Below are 15,311 nucleotides of genomic sequence, written 5' to 3'. Positions count from 1 at the left end.
ATTTTCACAATGGGTGATAAGTTGTGGATAAGTGACTTGAGAAAAGAAAGAGGGTTTGGGCTTCTAGGGCGGATAAGTTGTAGGAAAGTGACTAGGAGATACATACACACACACACACACACACACACACACACACACACACACATATATGAGAAACTAATGGAAAATAGGAGTTATTTTAGTAAGATGTGTTTATGCAAATTTTATCTCAGTCTCCACTGATAAATGTTGCTGTCTTCATCGTGGTAGAGTAGAGGGGGAGAATTTATGCCCCCTTCCCAAAAGGAAATGTATCTCCTGCTTTTAGGCAGAGAAGGGGAGGGCATAGAATTCTTCTTGCATCTGTTGATTCTCGATTGCCTTCAACTCGAAATAATCTTCATGCCAAAGTGGCAAATTTTGGGGGTGGTGTCTTCCAGAACTCTTCAGATATGAACACCAAGGCATGAAGTCTTTCTAGGTCTCCTGACACAGACACCAGCAGTGTGAGCAGTGATGCTTATTGAGCAGGACTTTATCTGTCTCCCCTCAAACTCTCTCAGGCACTTGAGAGTGGAGGGCAGATCCTTGTTGAGAATTCCCCTAAGGCATTAAGAGAAAGGACTCGTGGAAAGAACTTCCCTGGTCTTAGCAGTGAGGGTTGCACACTAAGTGCTGGAGAGGCTGTATGTTGTTAGAGTTCTGGGTACTATCCGGTTTTAGTTGCAGTGGTTCAAGCCCCAGTCCTAATCACTTTGTGAGGTTGTCATCCATCCTTACTAAACCCACTGGCAATAATCTTAGGGAGAAAAATGAAATGAAATTTCAAGTATCCCTGTGTGGTAAATAAGAGAATCTGCAGAGTTTTAAAGCACAGCAGGAAACTATGCAATTACAAGAGGAGGTTGCCAATGCATTTCATTGCTGTTGAGAAAAAAAAAATCTTTCTTTTTTAATGAGTGATTCATGCATATGCTTTGGGTGCCTTTGTATCTTCCTGTGTTGGATACTAGTTAATTCCAGTCAATTGCTCCTTCCTCTGATGTCAGCTGTTCCTAATACCTAGGAATCTTCTGTTTGATCACCAGTTAACTTCTTTCCTACTTAGTAATTAAATCTTACTCCAAAAACCAAAATTTAAAAAATAGAAAAAGGACAACCAGGGAATGAAGTTCTAGGGTTGTTTCAAATCAGCCCAAGCTGAATACACACTCTTGGGAATTTAATCATTTCCAAACTAAAGAGCCATCTGTAAGTTTGACAGGAAGAGTTTATTTAAATAGCTCTGCTTCATGCTTCCTCGGACTTCAAGATTTTAAGGACCCTTCAGCTTGAAAGTAGCTGTGGCATTGGGCATGACTTTAATGGACAGTCAGAAAAGCACTAAGTGATCTGCGAGCATTTGAAAACAGTTAACATTGTTCAGAGCAACCATTTTTAGAGTCCCCATTAACTTTTAGATTGCGGCATTGTGAAATCAGAGAGTTTCTGCAGCAACTTAAAATCACCTATTTGTCTGGAATATAGTGAGATTTAGGGTTGTCAGATAACATAGATACAGAAAATCCATTTAAATTTGAATTTTATGTAAGCAATGAATCAGTTGTTAGTGTAACTACAGCCCAAATGTTGTATGGAACACACTTATACTAAAAAAAATTTGGTTTTGCCTGACATTCAAATTTAACTGATGTTTTGTACTTTTATTTGCTAAATCTGACAACCTTCAATCACCTCCCCTTTTTGAAATGTGTACATGAGGGAGATAGGAAGTTTAAAACATTCATCAAAGTACCATGGTTCACTTTTGAAAAACAAATGCAAATTTTGGTAAACAAGTGTAGGCACTTGATAAGAATATGTTGGTAAAATACTTATTCATTAAATTAAAATTATAAAATCTATTGTTAGTATTCTAAAATATTAAATTCTATTAAATTCTTGTTCCTTTTTCTCTTAAATCTGGTGAAAGCACACAGAGCCTAGAGTTTATATCTTTAAAACCAGGGAAATGAAATAAAGATTATTTTGCGTTGAATGATAGTCCCATTCTTTCCAGATGAAATCTACCACTACTGCTTTCTGTAACTTCAAATTGGCTTCTATGTGCTGTTTTTCCTGGATGTAGACAACATGTTGATTTAACTACTCCAAGCGCCTTCAGGAAAAAAGCAATTCATGAAAGACAATATGCCTCCATGAGGCAGGCTGTGCATAGAATGGAAATTCTTTAAGTGTTCGTGGCCCATGGGCACTGGAGAATTAATTGAAATATTATATTCTGAAAATTGAGTTGTAATATGGCAACTGGAAAGCAAAATTCAAAAGTTGGGAGGGGGTTGGCTTTTTTTATTTGTTTTGTTTTATTTTATTTTTATTTTATTTTTCGAGTCAGAGTTTCTCTCTGTCAGTCACCCAGGCTGGAGTGCGGTGGCGAGATCTCAGCTCACTGCGGCGTCTGCCTCCAGGGTTCAGGAGATTCTACTGCCTCAGCCTCCCGAGTAGTTGGGATTACAGGCATGTGCCACTATGCCAGGCTTGTCAATGCTAGTAGTTGTAATGTGTAACTATTTTCTGTGTCCTTTAAAAAAATATTTGCCATATATTTGTGGACTTTTTTTTAAGCTTGTGTTTAAAGCTGGGCATACAATTGATGGAGCAAATAATTTTATAGGAATAATCAAATTTATTAAAATAAATTGAAAATATCACTATTATATACAAACTAGTAATGAGTTTTCTTTCAAGATTATTCTTAGTTATTAATGCTGGTAATAAGGAGAGTTAAAGAAAAAAAAACCTACTCTACTGGAAACATCTAACACATTATGAAAGAAGGAATTATAGGAGGTCAGAGTGGAAAAGAGTCTTCCAAGTTATCTAATCCCACTCCTTCATTTTACAAATGAGGGCCCAGAAGCCTAAAGATGATGGCAGAGTCTGGACTAGAACATGGAGTGCTTGCTGCTTAAATCCATTCCTTCCCACTCACATCACAGGGCCCTGGGATGAAAACACAGACCCTCGAGATTTCAGTCACCCTCTGGTCATCACTACTCTGATGCCTTCCAAGAGCCCCACCCCTCAGGATATGAGACAGGCTAGTGAGAGATGAAGGCAAGGCTGTCGTGTTGAGGAGTTTTTCCACTGGAAACTTACCAGGAGAAGGTTGCAAGCCCAAGCAGTTGTTTCCTAGAGACATCAGTCTCCCCCACCTGATGACTTGGAATCCACCTGCCTCTCAAACTGAGCTGCAAGGAGAGAGGCCACAGGAAGATGTGGGGAGGGAAGAAATCTAAAGCTGAAACAGAAATCTTTACCCTCTTCCTCTTTACTCCATCCCAAGTTATAAATCTATGGCCCCTCTCCCAAACCACAACACCCTTAGAGCTTTCAAGTCAGTATCGTTTCAGTCTGCATTTAATGTGGAAGGAGGTAGGATGCCAAAGACAGAGGGGAAATGGGATTATGTTAGACAGGAATTCAAGTCCAGGCCTCTCCATTATCCATTGTGTGAGTTTATCTTGTTTGTCTTGATTCTGTCTTTGCAAGATGACATATATGAATGTGCAGTTTGGAAAGTATGATATTGAATCCAGTTTTCTCTTTTGCACCAGGGATCAAGCAATCCTGGTTGCAACAGTGAGAAAGGTCTTTTCCTGGCCTTCCTAACAATGGGAACCAACTTAGGGCCATGCTGTCTTTTGTGGACAAAAAGAGTCAAACTCTATAAAATATTTGAAGAGATTTATTCTGAGACAAATATGAGTGAGCAGTGGCTTGTGACACAGAACCTCAGGAGGTCCTGAGGACATAAACCCAAGGTGGTCTGGGTACAGCTTGGTTTTATATATTTCAGGGAGACATGAGACATCAATCAGATACATAGAAGATGTACATTGGTTTGGTCCAGAAAGGTGGGACATCTGAAAACAGGGGCTCCCAAGTCATAGGTGGATTCAAAGATTTTCTGATTGGCAATGGTTGAAAGAGTTAAGTTACTGTCTAAAGACTTAGGAATGTCTGGGTTAAGATAACGTACAGGTAAAGACCAGGTAGCAGGCTTCAGAGAGAATATGTTGTAGATGTTTCTTATCAGACTTAAAGAGCTGTTCTATCATTAATTCCAACAGAGATGAGGGTATAATAATGAGGCTTGTCTGACCCTCACACTGTCCTATCATAGCCTGAACTAGTTTTTCAGGTTAGCTTTGGAATGCCCTTGCTGGGACAAGGTGTCCATTTAGATGGTCAGGGGACTTAGAATTTTATTTTTGGTTTACATTGATCATGCCTTTGCCTTTTTTTAAGAAGGAATGGAAGGGAGGAGTCAGGGACTGTGGACACCCGATGGAATGAGGCCCTGTTGATCCCAGGTGGATGAAAACCACAACGTGGAGCCCACAGGAAAAGATGCTTTGGGTTACTGTGCTGCAGGGATGGTGCACTGACCACGCTTGTACTTGTCTTGCAGGTAGACTTGGGCCTTCTGCGCTTTGTCACGGCTGTCGGGACACAGGGCGCCATTTCAAAAGAAACCAAGAAGAAATATTATGTCAAGACTTACAAGATCGACGTTAGCTCCAACGGGGAAGACTGGATCACCATAAAAGAAGGAAACAAACCTGTTGTAAGTTAGGCTGCCACCGTGGCAACCAATTTGGTCTTTTAAATGGATGATCAATTTTTACTTGTTTGTTTGGTAGCTTTCTGTCTGGCCTGGTTTATTTTTGAATTGATTTGAAATGAAAAGTGCAATTAGAGGTTTAAATCTAACCAAGGGGTCTCATGTTCCCAGATCCAGAAGCCGGGAGGAAATTATGTGAATGTTTCCAAAAAAAGTCAATACAGGCCAAATTAAGTGTCAGACTCAAGAATTGCTGTAAGCCCCCCATGGGGACACAGATTCTGCGTGGGATAAACACTGTCCTCTTAGAACCTTAGGAATTTGGGGTTTTGTTGTTTTTCCCCCCTCGATTTCTTCATCCTTTCATAGATTCTTTCTGTCTGTAATCAGCTAGTTTTAGAAAACATCTTTTCATCTATCTACTGTGGCTCACAAACTAATTTACAAGTGCATTTGACTGCTTCTTGTAAGAACGCGTGGAACCAAAGGTATTTCATTGTGTTCCCTCAGATCACACAAATAACACACTACCTCCGTACTGCTTTCAACCAAGGAGGCAGCACAGACCATACCGTGTCCCTCGGCGCTCTGCCCTAGCTCATTTGGAACAGAGATGTTTTTCTCAGCCTGCCTGTTTATTTGAAGTTACACTTGCTCTGATTTTCTAATCAAAAGATTTCGGAGAATTCATACTCACCATCTCCCAGAAATTAAAAGCTTGCCCTGGAGGCTGAGCAAAACACAGGAAATTGATGAGGATAGGAGCAAAGATCCAGGTAGCTTGCAATGATGGGCTTGGGAAGAGGCCAATTAACCTGTCTCTCTTTTGAGCATTCACGTACTTGATTTTCTCCTTGTGGATCTGGAACTGAGAAAAGCCCCCTGGGTGTGAAGTGAGAAAATCTATTAATTCCCTTTGATTAGCAGTGAAACCCCCACTCTCGGACAGGGCAGGCAAGATGGAAGCAGCTACAGATAGACAGCTGTTCTGTAGGAGGAAAATGCTATGGGCAGGCAAGTTCAAGGCCATTGTCTAGTCCTGGAGGACATGGAACCAGTTTGTCTGGGGTACAAGAACCTTCCTAGTCAACGCTCATGGAGATGAAGTGAGTAAATTTTGACCCCAAGTTTCATGACTGATTCTTGTTTGGGAATAAATTTCTGAAGACATACTTTAGGTTCAAGGAAATAAAAAATCACTAACTCTAATGAGGCACCTACCAGCCAAAGAACCCAGAGAGAGCCGGGAGAGCTGACCTTAGACTGTCAGGCCATTTCTTTTTAAAATAAGCGCTACTTCAGGAGGAGAAAACCAAACAACACATGTTCTTACTTATAACTGGGAGCTGAATGATGAGAACACATGGATGCATTGCAGGGAACAACACACACTGGGACTTGTCGGTAGCGGGGTATGTGGGAGGACGGAGAGCATCAGGAAAAATAGCTAATGGATGCTGGGCTTAATACCAAGGTGATGGGATGATCTGTGCAGTAAACCACCTTGGCACACAGTTACCTGTGTAACAAACCTATACATCCTGCACAGGTACCCTGAAACTTAAAGGTTGAAGAAAAAAAAAAAAAAGAACAAAATGGAACCATGAGGTGAAAGGTCTAAGATAATGTTAAGTGATAAACTTAACTGGTATTTCATTATCTTTATACTGGAATGCATGCAGATAAGAGGGATGAAAGAAAATAGCAACATGACCATTTTTTGTTAAGGAAAAAAAAACCATACGGGCTATTTCACCAACATGTTTTCTTCAACTGTTGTCCACTGGTTGTTTGCATGGCCCAGAAGAGGGGGGCTGTCGGAGAGCACCCACAGATTACAGGGGTGTTTGACAGTGCCCCCAGCTTGCCCTGGGAACCCCTGGCACACAGAAGGGCTTCAAGGGGAGAGGCAGAAGGAATAAGGAAGGAGTCGGCAGAGAGCTTGGCATCTGTTCTGAGCACTTTAGCTGAATCTAATGAAATCAGAATCTAATGAAACCAGAACATCCACCTAGAGCCTCATGATTGTTGCCCACCCCACCTTTCTCTGTACTTTAGGGGCTTTCAGCCACTCCCCTCTACCTTCATTCCCACTTTGCTCCAGGAGTGCAGCTTTCGACCACCAACAACTCCAGCAACCCTCTTCATGTTGGAGAGAATGTGTATAAAACATGATTTTCAGCAAACAGAAAACTCCCTCAGTGGGAGGAAAATGCACCTCCCCTCTGCCTGCACCAGGGCACACAACTCTCCTGCCAGACTTCTGGTCTCCCTCGGACAAGGACTCATTGCCCCCATAAGGAGAGCACCATCATTGGCGGCCCTCCTTCCCTGGCAGCTGCCCATTACTCTTTGTCACACAAAAATGCTCCCACACAGATTGATTTCCAGGGAGAGATGCTGATTTAGGGCAGAAATCAAAAGGCCATCACAGGCTGGGATAAATTAGGATATCAGATCGTCTCAAGAGAGAGATCAGGCTAAAAACTGACTTATTTAAACAAAAATAGAGACCAAGTCTTGCTCTGTCACCCATGCTGGAGTGCAGTGGTGCAATCATAACTCACTGCAGCCTTAAATTCCTGGGCTCAAGCCATCCTCCCAGCTAAATCTCCCAAGTAGCTGAGACCACAGGCATGCACCACCACCATACCTGGCTAATTTTTTTTTTTTTTTAATGGAGAGATGGAGTCTCACTATGTTGCCCAGGCTGGTCTCAAACTCCTGGCCTCAAGCAATCCTCCTGCCTTGGCCTCCTAAAGTTTTGGAATTACTGGCATGAGCCACCACACCCAGCCACAACCAACTCTGTAAAGCATTTGACCACCTTTAGTTGTGCAGGCCACTTAAATTCAATAAAGTGAAAACACAAGCCCGACTTTCACAAGCCCTTTCTCCCAGGTGGAAGAGCAGGACTTGGGAAACCATAGACCTTCATGTCCTCACCTGGAAAGATGGGGAGGAAGCTGCATGCCTCGAGTGAGCCCCGTGATGCTCCAGTTATGCAGCCTAAAAGGAGGTGTCTGACCCAGCTGTGCTGAGAAGCATAGTGCTGAATGCACGAGGCACAGGACTGAGAAACATCACCATCCCACGGGCTGTTCCCAACCCAAGGCAGAATTAAAATCCAGGAAAGGGAGGCAGAGTATTCTGTAATGGTAAACTCTCTAGTCCTCAGAGATCTTACTGGAGAATGCTGCTGCAGCCCCCCGCCCAGGCAGAGTGGCCCCCACGAGTCCTTGTGGGAAACATCCATTCATGCCTGGCATGCATTACATTTGCAGTCACATGCCTCATCTTTCTTAGAATAAAATGACTCAATTTAAAACTAAAAGCAGAATCCCAGCACTTTGGGAGACGGAGGCAGGAGGATGACTTGAAGTAAGGAATTCAACACCAGCCTGGCCAACCAACATGGTGAAACCCCATCTCTACCAAAAATACAAAAATTAGCTGGGTGTGGCTGTGGGCACCTGTAATCCTAGCTACTCAGGAGGCTGAGGCAGGAGAATTGCTTGAACCCGGGAGGCGGAGGCCGCAGTGAGCCGAGATCGCATCACTGCACTCCAGCCTGGCTAACAGAGCGAGACTCCATCTTAAATAAATAAATAAATAAATAAATAAATAAATAAATAAATCTTGACGCACAAGCCCTGGAAAAACTGATTTTTAGTTAAAAATAATTTATAACTCAGTTTTGACTTTGACCACTAAAACATAATTTTACCAATAATCAAAAAAGGATTAAAGTCACGCATTAGTGTGAGGGACAAGATCTTCCATCAAGGAATGAAGTCAAAGGGGAGAACGCTATTTGACCTAGTACTGTAGCTGCAAACACGACCTAGAATTTCAAAAAGCCAGGCCCTATAGTTTACTTAAAAAGCATCCCTTCTGGGGATTCTTGGGAAAGTCAAACAGTGAGAGTTCCCATGACACGTCTACAGTATTATTTTGGTCCTCTGGTAAAGTTAATAGTTTCACACTTTTTAGATAATAGCATGCGTTCTTTAATCAATATTATCCATATAATAGTGCTTTTAAAGACTCTAGCCTCTCAGAAAATTGAATCGATGATTAGGACAGTATTCTATATTAGACATCATTCTGATTGCTAATTGAAAAAATTAACATGGCGAGTTATTAACGCCATCTCATCCTTGATCGACAACACTGAAATTGTAAATAATTTTTACAACCATTTGTGAAAACACATTTATGGATTTAAATCCAAAACCTCTGCTAAAGAAAGGCACTTTTTTTCCCCATACAGCTCTTTCAGGGAAACACCAACCCCACAGATGTTGTGGTTGCAGTATTCCCCAAACCACTGATAACTCGATTTGTCCGAATCAAGCCTGCAACTTGGGAAACTGGCATATCTATGAGATTTGAAGTATACGGTTGCAAGATAACAGGTAAGCTGTGGAAGATTGAAGACTGAATCTTCCAAGTCGAAGATTGTCTTGTTTTGATTTATGCAAACCTTTAAATACAGGGTAAATAAGTTTGTAAATGCAATCATTTTTATTTGACAATTAAAAGCATCTACTTTGGATTTAGACAAATCCGAGTTCAAATCCTGCCTTACTACTCACTAGCAGATTTTTTTGGTCAATATACTTACCTTTTAAAGCCTTAGTTATCTCACCTGGGAAATAGTCATAATAATTTATGCCATACAGCCTAGTTGTGATGATGCATTATTAATAGATAATGGATATAAGCACGTAGCACAGCCTGGCATGTGGTAGGTGCTTGTTTACTGGTACCTTTTCCACTAGACTGTAAGCTCCATGAAGGCAAGTATCATGCCGTTCATCTCTGCTTCCTGGATACTGACTACTACTTAGTAGATTTACAATAAGTAACTGTTGCATGAAAGATTCTCCAGCAGTTTTATTTATTTCTTTGTTTCTTTATTTTGAGACAGGGTCTTGCTCTGTCACTCAGGCTGCAGTGCAGTGGCATGATCATAGCTCACTGCACCCTCAACCTTCCAGGTTCAAGTGATCCTCCTACTTCAGCCTCTTGAATACATGTGGGACAACATGAGGGCACCAGTGTAGACAACTAATTGTAACCCCTATGTTGCTTGGGCTGGTCTCGAACTCCTGGACTCAAGCTATCCTCCCACCTCGGCCTCCCAAAGTACTGGGATTACAGGTGTGAGCTACTGCCCCTGGCCAGCTTTATCTTTTTATTTGTTTTTCTTTTTTTTTTTTTTTTTTTTTTTGAGACTGAGCCTTGCTCTGTCACCCAGGTTGGAGTGCAGTGACATGATTTTGGCTCATGGCAACCTCCACCTCCCAGGTTCCAGCGATTCTCCTGCTTCAGCCTCCTGAGTAGCTGGTACTACTACAGGAGTGCACCACCACACCTGGCTAATTTTTTGTATTTTTAGTAGAGATAGGTTTTCACCATGTTGGCCAGGCTGGTCTTGAACTCCTGACCTCAGGTGATCCACATGCCTCAGCCTCCCCAAAGTGCTGGGATTACAGGCGTGAGCCACCGCGCCCAGCCTGTCCATTTGTTTTCTTGCATGACTATGCTATATTCTGCAGTATATAGCAGTCATATTAGAATTCCTTTCCATTTTAGTAAATACATTGCCAAACTTTCATTGAAACAACCACCACCAACAAAAAACCTGTACAATGTGATCTTTATAGTAAGCTTGGAAGTTCAAAGACAGAATCAGTTGACCCACTCACTAAAAAGTAATTAAAAGCAAGCAATGTCTAAAAGTCTTTGAACTACCTTTAATATTATGTTATATATGTATTTGGGGTATTTAATTTTTTATTCCATTTTTCTGTTTATCCTCTTTAGTTTAATTATTTTTAGAGGAGAATGATACCGACTTTGGAAGGAAAAAAAATCACTTTGGCAATATTCCATGAAATTACAAGCAATTTTGAGAAGAGCTAATGAACAGGAAAAACTATACTTGTTTATAGTAGAGTTCAGCTTGGAAAGTAAAAACCAACATCTGATTTTTTAATGAAAAGTTTATTTATTTCCATCCCACAGACAGACTTGTTTATTATTTTAGGACCTAAGATTTAGAAAGTTCAAGGCCTTAGAGGCAGGAATTGGGTGGAGAAGGGTTTGAAAGAAGAAAGGACATTGAAAAGTTAGATATAACCTTGGCTTTATTTTTGATCAGCAGTTAGATGACAGAAAGTTCTAGGTCATTTTCAGAGCATTACAGATTTGTGCTGTTATTCATAAATTTGTAGAAACAAGGCCATTTGAGGTTTGGGTGGAAATTTCTGGCCCATTTCTTCAACCTTATCTCATGTCATTGTATTTAAAAAAAATGAGGTAAACTTCATAAAGACTCCAAACATGTTAGTCAAAATTCTGAATTTCCAGGCTCTTAGAGATTTATGTCACATCCTTTTAGTTGAATACAATTTTTTTTATACCTAAACTGTCCTTTTTAATTTTCACAAGGATTTCCCTGAGAGGTGATGCTAGGAATGTGAGCAAAGAAGGTAAATAATTTGTTCAATTTTTAAAAATAGTTAAATGATCTAGTTATGTAAACTTAGATGTCTAAAATAGCATATCCTAATATTTTCATACATAATTAAGTAGCTATTTTTCAAATAAGGTGCTTCCTTTCAGTTCCTAGTGCTAGTCTCTTAATCATGGTCTCCACTATACTTTTAAATATTTTCTCTCTAGTAAAATGTCTCTAGTCTCCAAATAATTGCCAGAAGCAGGTTTTTGGAGAGGCTAACACGTTACGATAGTCACATGGACAGAAGGCAGGCAGACATATCCAGGCTTGACTGTGGACTGTCCACTTAGTGTATGCATGACGGACCATGGATAAGACATTGAGACTCACTCTGATCTCCGTTTTCTGGTCTGTGAGGATCACCTTAATGCAACTATAATGAGGAGTCAATGAGAGGAAATTTGGAACACCCCTGGCTTAAACTAAGTGCTCACTAAATGGTACCCGTTAGACTAAAATAGTACATGGCACTCAATATATTGAACCTAGCATATGCCCCAGCAAGCAGAGCCTCTAATAAGACAGTAATTTCAAGTTTTTCTTCTTGATTATCAGAAGCAGATAATTTTCATTTTCTTGAAATGAAAATCAAAGGTCCCCTTGAGTAGAGATTAATGAAAGGAGGACTACAGTATTCCTGCTGGACTAGATGGTCCAGGAGAGCAGGGGACCTGTTTGCCTCATTTTCTGTTGTGTCCTGTATGCCTGGAACATAACAAATGCTTGGTGGTTACTTTTGAATGAAGGAAGTGCAGTTTTATGCACGCCTTCTGAGAAACAAGCGGCTGGACCTCAAATTTTCACCCTGCTGAGTAGTCACAATTCAATCTGGATTTTGTTTAAGCCTACCTAATGAAAGGTTACTGCTTGAACACATCACTTGGCTTCCAAAGCCACTAAAGCCCCAAGTTTTACCCTAATTTTTTGATTCAGAAATTATTTTTTAGAAATATAGTAATCCTGGACTGGGCGCAGTGGCTCACTCCTGTAATCCCAGCACTTTGGGAGGCCGAGGCAGGTGGATCACGAGGTCAGGAGATTGAGACCATCCTGGCTAACACAGTGAAACCCCATCTCTACTAAAAATACAAAAAATTACCCAGGTGTGGTGGCATGCACTTGTAGTCCCAGCTACTCAGAAGGCTGAGGCAGGAGAATGGCGTGAACCCAGGAGGCAGAGCTTGCAGTGAGCCGAGATTGTGCCACTGGCCACTGCACTCCAGCCTGGGCAACAGAGCAAGATTCCATCTCAAAAAAAAAAAAAAGAAAGAAAAAAGAAATATAGTAATCCTGGAAAATTCAGAGTTTGTCACCATATAGAGATATAAAGAAAATAAGATTGGAACAAACCATTCTGCTTTATAGGTGATTGATGAAGGGCATTTTCATTATTTTGACAAAGTAGGCTTCATCATTTTGGCAGAGATGGAAATCACGTTGGGCAATGGCTGCTTAACACACTCTGAACTCTGCTATCTTCTGTTATTAACCAGAAGTCTGTTACCCAGCGCTTCAACACATATTCATGTGCTCCTAAGTCAATCAGAATTCACAGTGATGATCTCAGACACCATAATATCCAGAGGTACTTTCTGAGTCATCAAGGAGAGATTAAATTATGCTCATTCAGGGTCTCCCATCGAATGCAGTTATTACTTTCTCATTCGTTGGAAATTGGTTAACTGGATATTTGATTTACCAGTATACCTCAGTTTTTCCATTAAAGCTGAGTACAGAGATTTACTGTAAAATAATATCACTGAAAATAACGACCTCAATCCTCCATTACAAAACTCATTTCTCCCTTCCATCCTGAAGTGGTCTTAAGCTTTCCAAACAAGGCTGCCAAGTGAAATACAAAATGTCCAGTTAAATTTGACGCAGACAAACAAGACATAATTTTTCAGAATAAGTATGTCCCATGCAATATTTGAGACATATGTGTACTAAAAAATTATTCATTATTTCTCTGAATTCTAATTTCACTGGGCATCTTGTTTCTTGTTTTGTTGTTTATTTGCTAAATCTGGCAACACTATTTCCAAAGGGTTTGACCTGCACCGGGCTGACCTGTACCAGCCTGCTATGAAGGGACAGAGTTAAACGCTAGCATCTCATTCAAACCTTGAATTAATTGTTAATGTAATTTTTCTGCAAATTATTGTTAAAAGTGAGTCACATAGTTTTCAGTCAAAGGTAAATCAAGTTGCCTCTTCATTTTTTTTTTTTTAATGAGGCAGCTATATGGAAGGAATAACAGTCTCACTTTGCACCATGGATATGTTGGCTAAATGGGGACAGGGCATCACTAAGTCTATGAATACAGAAACTGTGCCCCAGCCGAGTCTGCATTAGAGAAAGGGCATTAATCTGGTGACGGTTCTGCTCTCCTTACAGTATTCAAGTTAATTATGTTTGCCTCCAAATGGTAACATCTGGTCCCCATTACCAGCTAAACATTGCCTTTCTAAAAGCTTGTTTGGAATCAGGCAGGTATGAACACCGTGGCCAAAAAATGGCACTCTATTTTTAACACTACAGTTTCATAGTCCCTTAGTAAAATTGTTTTTGTAAATCTTTTTTTAATCCCGACTGAGTATATTCTTGGTTTCCAGATCCCAGCCTGGAGCAAATACTGTGGTTAAGTTACAGGAAAGGGCAATTGAGAAAATGACAGCTGCCTTTCATTGTATTAAGTTGATTCATTCAACAAATATTTGTTGAGCAAATACTATGTATAAAACAGGGCATGAAGAGTCATATAAAACAGAAAAATATGACTTAGTTCGTGTCCTCAAAGAAGTTAAAATCTGGGGAGGCAGAAAGCAGCATTCCAAAGAACTAAATGTGCTCATCAGCATTTGAGGGCTGGATATGGTGGCTCAAGCCTGTGACCCCAGCACTTTGGGAGGCCAAAATGGTAAGATCTCTTGACCCCAGTAGTTTGAGAGCAGCCTGGGCAACATAGCGAGACCAAAAAAAAAAAAATTGCCAATCATGGTAGCATCCACATGTAGTCCTAGCTACTCAGGAGACTGAGGTGGGAGGATTGCTTGAGGCCAAGAGTTCAAGGCTGCAGTGAGCCATGATCACACCACTCCACTCCAGCCTGGGTGACAGAGTGAGACCCTGTCTCTAAAAATAAAAATTAAAAAAAAGGCCGGGGTGTAGAGGGGCCAGGCGCCGTGGCTCACACCTGTAATCCCAGCACTTTGGGAGGCCGAGGCAGGCATCACGAGGTCAGGAGATCGAGACCATCCTGGCTAACACTGTGAAACCCCTCTCTACTAAAAATACAAAAAATAAGCCGGGCGTGGTGGCAGGCGCCTGGAGTCCTAGCTACTCGGGAGGCTGAGGCAGGAGAATGGCGTGAACCCGGGAGGTGGAGCTTGCAGTGAGCCAAGATCGCCCCACTGCACTCCAGCCTGGGAGACAGAGCGAGACTCCTTCTCAAAAAAAAAAAAAAAGAAAGAAAGAAAGAAGGGAAATGCAGATAAAATGGTGTGAAGAGGCCCAGAAATGGAAAACTGTGTCCAGTTGCAGAGAACAGAAAAACTGAGTAAACGATGTGGCATTTGAAAACAGGTCAGGATTTTAAGCAGTTCAGATAATGGAAAAGGGTAACATGACAGGGAATTCCTTGTGGAGGGAACAGAAAGAAAGCTCCCAAACTCCCAGAAGTAAGGAAGTTCTTCATGCCAATTGGCACTGGTTAAAGGAGTGAATGGGGAGAGGCCTTGCAAGGACATGACATGGAAGGCCTGCATGCCTGACTGAAAATGACGTGCGTAATTTCTAGACAAGAAGGCACTGAATGTCTGAGTAAAGAAACGACATGATCTGGACCATAGAACTCATGTGGAAAGTATCTGAGTAATGAATTCTTAAGGTTCAGCTGATAATGTGGACTTAGTTTAATTGCATTAGATGTTTGCCTCTCACTTAGGGGTAGTTATATTTTTAGGCTAAATTTTTATTATATAACGCAGAATTGAGTTGCTTCAAAGAAAAATAGGTTATCATTCTTGCACATGTTCTTGATTAGGATGTACAGTTTCTAAAGGAAAATACTTGAAGTGTTGGACATTTTGTCATTAAGCCAGCGTTGAATTCATCAACAACTGATACTCTCCTTGTGCTCAGAAGCTCCTTGGGCTGCTTTAGAAGACATAAAAA

At 41.0% G+C, this 15,311-nt stretch overlaps 1 protein-coding gene across 18 annotated transcripts in view; it reads left to right on the top strand.

Moving 5' to 3' along the window:
* The window catches only part of NRP1 (neuropilin 1), a 157,175-nt gene that overhangs the window by 103,925 nt on the left and 37,939 nt on the right, over positions 1–15,311 (top strand). For all 18 annotated transcript variants that reach the window (NR_045259.2, XM_047425977.1, XM_006717525.3 and 15 more), the window contains 2 exons: positions 4,454–4,609; positions 8,880–9,024. Coding sequence is in view for 17 of the 18 variants with exons in the window: in XM_047425977.1 (XP_047281933.1) it covers positions 4,454–4,609; positions 8,880–9,024 (301 nt within the window). In the remaining variant the exon portion in view is untranslated. The remainder of the gene's footprint in view (positions 1–4,453; positions 4,610–8,879; positions 9,025–15,311) is intronic.

This window comes from Homo sapiens, chromosome 10 (genome assembly GCF_000001405.40).
Source record: "Homo sapiens chromosome 10, GRCh38.p14 Primary Assembly".
In the NCBI taxonomy this organism is placed as follows: Eukaryota; Metazoa; Chordata; class Mammalia; order Primates; family Hominidae; genus Homo; species Homo sapiens.
This window is presented reverse-complemented; position numbering and strand designations above follow the sequence as displayed.